The 6,977-nt window shown below is 45.0% G+C and overlaps 1 annotated feature.

Annotated features, from left to right (window-relative positions):
* Nucleotides 6,596–6,770: a silencer, noted in NCBI's record as "fragment chr1:198001212-198001386 (GRCh37/hg19 assembly coordinates)". NCBI's record gives its function as "represses an EF-1alpha promoter that drives an FKBP-Casp9 reporter gene in an ReSE screen in K562 erythroleukemia cells {active_cell/tissue: K562}" and the evidence as "EXISTENCE:reporter gene assay evidence [ECO:0000049][PMID:32094911]".

Here is a 6,977-nt window from a genome sequence, read left to right as displayed (position 1 = left end):
AGTTAAGGCAACTAGTTCGGCTTGCTGAGAGGTAGTGGAGGGGGGCAGAGCGGTAGCCTCAGTGATAGATGTGGAAGATACTATAGCACAGCCTGCCTTTGCTGGTGAGTGGCAATTAGGCCTGGTGTAACTGCCATCAATAAACCAAGTGTGATCAGGGTGAGAGAGAAGAAGGAAATGTGGGGAAATGGGGTGAACGTCAGGTGGATCAGAGAGATGCTGTCATGAGGGTCAGGTGTGGTATCCGGAATAATGTGGGACTTAACAAAGAGTGAGTACAGCTGAAGGAGCCGGGGAGCAGAAAGTATATGCGTCAGGTATGAGGAAGAAAATAGATTTTGGAAGTTATGAGAAAGGTAGAGAGTAAGTTGAGCATAGTTTGTGATCTTGAGGGCCTCTAAAAGTATTAGGGTGGCAGCAGCCGCTGCACGGTGACATGATGGCTAGGCTGAAACAGTAAGGTCAAGTTGTTTGGACAGAAAGGCTACAGGATGCGGTCCTGGCTCTTGTGTAAGAATTCTGACCGCACTAACCATGCCTAGGAAGGAAAGGAGTTGTTGTTTTGTAAGGGATTGAGGTTTGGGAGATTAAGTGGACACGATCAGCAGGCAAAGCACGTGTGTTTTTATGAGAATTATGCTGAGATAGGTAACAGATGAGGATGAAATTTGGGCTTGACTGAAGTAATGGGGGCTGTCTGTGAAGCCTTGCGGCAGTACAGCCCAGGTAATTTGCTGAGCTTAATGGGTGTCAGGGTCAGTCTAAGTGAAAGCAAAGAGAGGCTGGGACGAGGGGTGCAGGGGAATAATGAAAAAAGCATCTTTAAGATCGAGAATGGAATAGTGAGTTGTGGAGGAAGGTATTGAGGACAAAAGAGTGTACAGGTTGGGCACCACAGGATGGATGGGCAAAACAATTTGGTTGATAAGGCGCAGATCCTGAACTAATCTGTAAGACTTGTCCAGTTTTTGGACAGGTAAAATGGGGGAATTGTAAGTTTATAGGTTTTAGAAGCCCATGCTGTAGCAGGTGAGTGATAACAGACTTTAATCCTTTTAAAGCATGCTGTGGGATGGGATATTGGCTTTGAGCGGGGTAAGGGTGATTAGGTTTTAATGGGATGGTAATGGGCATGTGATCGGTTGCCAGGGAAGGAGTAGATATGTCCCATACTTGTGGGTTAAGGTGGGGGGATACGAGAGGAAGACGCGAAGGAGGCTTTGGGTTGGGGAGAAGGGCGGCAATGAGATGCAGCTGTAGTCCAGGAATAGTCAGGGAAGCAGATAATTTGGTTAAAATATCTTGGCCTAATAAGGGAACTGGGCAGGTGGGGATAACTAAAAAAGAGTGCATAAAAGAGTGCTGTCCAAGTTGGCACCAGAGTGGGGGAGTTTTCAGGGGTTTAGAAACCTAGCCGTCAATACCCACAACAGTTATGGAGGCAAGGGAAACAGGCCCTTGAAAAGAAGGTAATGTGGAGTGGGTAGCCTCCGTATTGACTAAGGGGACGGACTTACCTTCCACTGTGAGAGTTACCCGAAGCTCAGCGTCCGTGATGGTCTACGGGGCTTCTGAGGCGATCGGGCAGCGTCAGTCTTCAGCCACTAAGCCGAGAAGGAGTCAGTCAGAGAGCCTTGGGCCAGAGTTCCAGGGGCTCTGGGAGTGGCTGCCAGGTGAGTTGAACAGTCCGATTTCCAGTGGGGTCCTGCACAGATGGGACATGGCTTAGGAGGAATCCTGGGCTGCAGGCATTCCTTGGCCTGGTGGTCAGATTTCTGGCACTTGTAGCAAGCTCCTGGGGGAGGAGGTTCTGGAGGAACGCCTGGCCGCTGCGGTTCAGGCATTTGGAAGTTCTTGGGTGCTGGAGATGTGGCTGGGGTTTGTCTCACAGTGGAGGAAAGGAATTGCAACTTTTTTCTGTTATTGTACACCTTGAAGGCGAGGTTAATTAAATGCTGTTGTGGGGCTTGAGGGCCGGAATTTAATTTTTGGATTTTTATTTAATGTCAGGAGCAGATTGGGTAATAAAATGTATTTTGAGAATAAGACGGCCTTTAGACCTTTTAGGGTCTAGGGCTATAAAGTGTCTCAGGGTTGCTGCCAAACAAGTCATGAACTGAGCTGCATTTTTATATTTGATGAAAAAGAGCCTAAACGCTATCTGACTTGGGATAAAGAAAAAGGAGCATTAACCTTGACTATGCCTTTAGCTCCAGCCACCTTTTTAAGAATAAATTGCTGGGCAGGTGGGGGAGGGCTAGTCATGGAACGAAACTGTAAGCCGGACCAGGTGTGAGGAGGGGAGGTGATAAAAGGATTATAGGGTGGAGGAGCAGAGGCTGAGGAAGAATTGGGACCTAGCTCAGCCTGGCGAGGAGCAGCCTGGGGAGGAGGGGAGAGGTCAGATGGGTCTGTAGAAAAGGAAGATTAGAAAGACTCAGCGATGCTTGGGGTTGGGACTGAGGGGACAGGTGGGAGGGAAAGAAGGAAGATTTGGGACGAGTTGCACTGGGCACAGAGACTAGGGAGGGACTGATATGTAAAACAATGCCTGGACGTCAGGCACCTCAGACCGTTTGCCCATTTTACGACAGGAATTATTTAGATCTTGCAGGATGGAAAAATTGAAAATGCCGTTTTCTGGCTATTTGGAACTACTGTCGACTTTGTATTGGGGTCAAGCGGCATTGCAGAAGAAAATAAGATGCTTAGATTTTAGGTCAGGTGAGAGTTGAAGAGGTTTTAAGTTCTTAAGAACACAGGCTAAGGGAGAAGAAGGAGGAATGGAGGGTGGAAGGTTGCCCATAGTGAAGGAGGCAAGCCCAGAGCAAAGAGAGAGTAGAGACACGGAGGGAAGGGGTTCAGGGGTTCTTACCCTCCAGAAAAGCGGGAAAGGGGTCAGGGCACAGAGATACGAGGTTGGGGCGCAGAAATAAGGGATTGGGGTGCAGAGATATAAGAGGTTGTGGTGCAAAAATAAGGGATTGGGGCACAGAGATATAAGAGTTTGTGGCGTGGAAATAAGGGATCGGGGTGCAGAGATATAAGAGGTTGGGGCACGGAAATTAGAGATAGGGTGCAGAGATATAAGGGGTTGAGGTGTGGAAATAAGGGATCGGGGTGCAGAGATATGAGGTTGGGGCATGGAAATAAGGGATCGGGGCACAGAGATATAAGGGGTTGTGGTACTTGCTCCTCCCCTAGAAAAGTGGGACTTGCCTCTAAGGGTGAAGGAGAAGGCGTTGGGGGTTTCTTGCCCCCCAGAAAGGCGAAGAAGGGGTAGAGACACGGAGAGAAGGGGTTGGGGTACTTGCCCCTTCCCCAGAAAAGCGGGACTTGCCGCTAAGGGTGAAGGACTAAGGCAGGCGTCCCTGCGTGGTCTGACACCCCTGAAACCTGGGTGAATAATCAGAGAGGTGTCCCTGCAATGATTAAACACCAAGGGAAGGCTGCCTTCCCTACTCCGTGACTGGTGCCGGAGTTTTGGGTCCACGGATAAAACGTGTCTCCTTTGTCTCTACCAGAAAATGAAAGGAATTGAAACTAAGAGAAGGGAGAGATTGAAGTGTGGTGCCAAGATTGAAAGGAGAAAGAAGTTGAGGGATAGTGAGGGAGGTTGGAGAAGAGAGTAAAAACAGGCCGCTTACCGGATTTGAAATTGATGAGATGTTTCTTGGGCTGGTTGGTCTGAGGACCTGAGGTCATAGGTGGATCTTTCTCACGGAGCAAAGAGCAGGAGGACAGGGGATTGATCTCCCAAGGGAGGTCCCCCGATCCGAGTCACGGCACCAAATTTCATGTGCATCTGTGTAAAGAGACCACCAAATAGGCTTTGTGTGAGCAATAAAAATTTAATCACCTGGGTGCAGGCGGGCTGAGTCTGAAAAGAGAGTCAGTGAAGGCAGATGGGGCGGGGCCATTTTATAGGATTTGGGTAGGTAAAGGAATATTACAGTCAAAGGGGGGTTGTTCTCTGGAGGGCAGAGTGGGGTCACAAGGTACTCAGTAGGGGAGCTTTTGAGCCAGGATGAGCCAGGAGAAGGAATTTCACAAGACAATATCATCAATTAAGGCAGGAATAGGCCATTTTCACTTCTTTTGTGGTGGAATGTCATCAGTTGAGGCGGGAACTGGCCATCTGGATGTGTACGTGCAGGTCACAGGGGATATGATGGCTTAGTTTGGGCTCAGAGGCCTGACACTCACCAACTTGGGAATATAGTTAGTCTCCTAGTCTATAATACTACACACATGCTGATGATTCCAAAATTTTTGTCTTTAGCCTGATTTTCTCCCTTAAGCTTCTTCTAAGAAATCAATTAGCTTCTCAAATTTAACATGTGCAAAGCTGAACTCCTGATATCTCCCAAACCAGCTCTCCCACAGCCTTTCTCATCTTGGTTAATGGCTATTCCATCCTTAAATTTTCTCAGGCGAAGAACTGTGAAGTCATCCTTGATCTCTTGTTGACTCATACCCCATATATGATCCATCAGCAAATCCTGTGGGTTCTACCTTTAAAAGATACCCAGAATCCAACCCTTTCTCACCAGTCTAATCCCAGCTGCCATCATCTCTTGCCTGGGTTATTCTTAAAACCATCTAACCAACCTTCCTGCTCCTGTCTTTGCCCCCTACAGACTAGCCTTAACTCAGCAGCCAAAATAATAATTCTGTTAAAACATAAATCATATCTCATGTCGCTTCTTTGTTGAAACCATCTTGTGTATCTCTGTCTCATTTGAAGCAAAAGGCCAAGTTCTTAAAATTATCTGCAGGACCCTTAATGATCTCCTCACCATTCCCTCTCCATCTCATCTCCTTATACTCTTCTTTCTTATTCTTCCCTGTCCACACTTAACCTTCTTGCTATTCCTCAAATACATCAAGCATATCCTCATTGTGGTAGGCTGCAAAATGGCCTTCAAAAGATATCCGTGTCCTAATCTCTGGAATCTGTGAATGTCATTTTTTATGGCAAAGCCATTGTATATGTGATTGAATTAATAATCTTGAGGTGAAAATTTTATACTGGATTATCTGGGTGGACCTTAAATGCAATCACATATATTCTTCTAAGAGGGAGAAAGAGAAAGATTACACACACACACGCGCACACACACACACACACACACAATGAAGATGGGGGAGAGAGAGATTTGAAGATGCTAGACTTGAAGATTAGAGTGATGTGGCCATAAACCAAGGAAGCCCAGTAGCCACCAGAGGAATGACTTCTCCCCTACAGACTTCAGAAGGAGCACAGCCCTGACAGTGATACTGCCAATGATCTCAGCCCAATGATACTGATTTTGGAATTCTGCCCTCCATAACTGTGAGAGAATAAATTTCTGTTGTTTTTAGCTAATTTTACAGCAGAAACAGGAAACTAACACACTCATCTCTTGCTATTCCCTCTGTGAAGAATTTCTTTCCACCAGATATCAGTATTGCTACCTCCCCTACTTCATTCACGTCTTTGAACAAATATAATTTCAGAGAGACATTTTCTAGCTACTCTATTTAAAATCCATATCATATACTTGCACTTATACACACATTCTGGCACTCACCTTCTCCCTTAACTTTTTACATATTATTATTTCTTAAATAGTCTAAGTATTTATTTACTTTGCTGTTTCCCTCTACTGGAATGTTAAGCCTATGAGAACAGGGGTATCTTTCACTTGTATTCACCTTATATCACTAACACATAGACGACATCTGAAAGACGACTGCTCAGTAACTACTTATTGAACGAACTTGATTAACCAGTTATTTCACACAAACTGAGGAGAACAAGTGTTCCACAGTGGTTATCATCATATTCTGACTTTGAAATTTCAATTATTATCCATTTTGACAACACACATACATCTTAACTCACAAATCTCTTGGTTTAAGACACCATGAAGCAGGTCAGAAAAAGATTTAAGACCTATTAAGCAGACAGCACAGTATAGTTCAGGAAGTGGTTTCCAAACTATACGATCATCACGTCCCCTGAAGAGTTTCACAAAAGATACCCTGGGCTTCTCTGCAGACCTTCAGAATAACCACTTGCAGACCCAGTGCCTGAGAGCCAGAATTTTTTAGAAGAGCCCTAAGGAATGCTGAAGATCAGTTGGATTTGGGAACCACTTGTTTTTCTTTGCTCATATACTTAAAAACTTCAGAAGGAATGTTATATTTTTGTTTGTGATCAAATGCAAGGCTTTTCAGCATGGTGTATTATATGTTAATTATTTTTCTATTACCTAAAACAATCACAGCTGTTGTTTTGCCACACACATCACTGGATGAGCTCATTTTGCCTGCTGTCAGACCTTATGCTATCCATTGAAATGTGATGGCATTTAACATCATCAAAGGGGAAGATTCTATTTTACTGCACAAAAGACATCTCCAGTTTTCTCTCTAGCTTTCCGTAAATTACATAGGTACCTAACATTGGTACGTTGCATTTAGGGTGAGCTCCATTTTCTTTGATAAAGAGGAATTTTGTTCTAAGAAATAGTTGAGTTTTATGATTTACTTTCATTATTTTGTTTTATTTTACTTTTATTTTTTGAGAGAAGGTCTTGCTCTGTCACCCAGGCTGGAGTGCAGTCCCACAAACTTGGCTCACTACAATCTCCTCCTGGGCTCAAAAGATCCTCCTGCCTCAGCCTCCTGAGTAGCTGGGACTACAGGCGCATGTACCACCATGCCTGGCTAATCTGGTATCTTTTGTAGAGATGGTATCTCACTATGTTGCCCAGGCTTATCTTGACCTCCTGGACCCAAGAAATCCACATGCTTCAGCCTCTCAAAGGGCTGGGATTACAGGTGTGAGACACTGCACTTGGCCTAATTATTTTAAAAGAATAAAAACAAGCTCAAAATTATCAAATGACCTATTCTACGTAAACAAATTCTGACTGTGCCTCCAAGTATCAGCCCAACTCTTTGCCCTAACCTCACACCTCTAATCAATA

Source organism: Homo sapiens, chromosome 1, assembly GCF_000001405.40.
Source record: "Homo sapiens chromosome 1, GRCh38.p14 Primary Assembly".
NCBI classification, from domain to species: domain Eukaryota; kingdom Metazoa; phylum Chordata; class Mammalia; order Primates; family Hominidae; genus Homo; species Homo sapiens.
The sequence above is the reverse complement of the archived record's forward strand: the minus strand, read 5'-3'. Positions and strand labels throughout refer to the sequence as shown.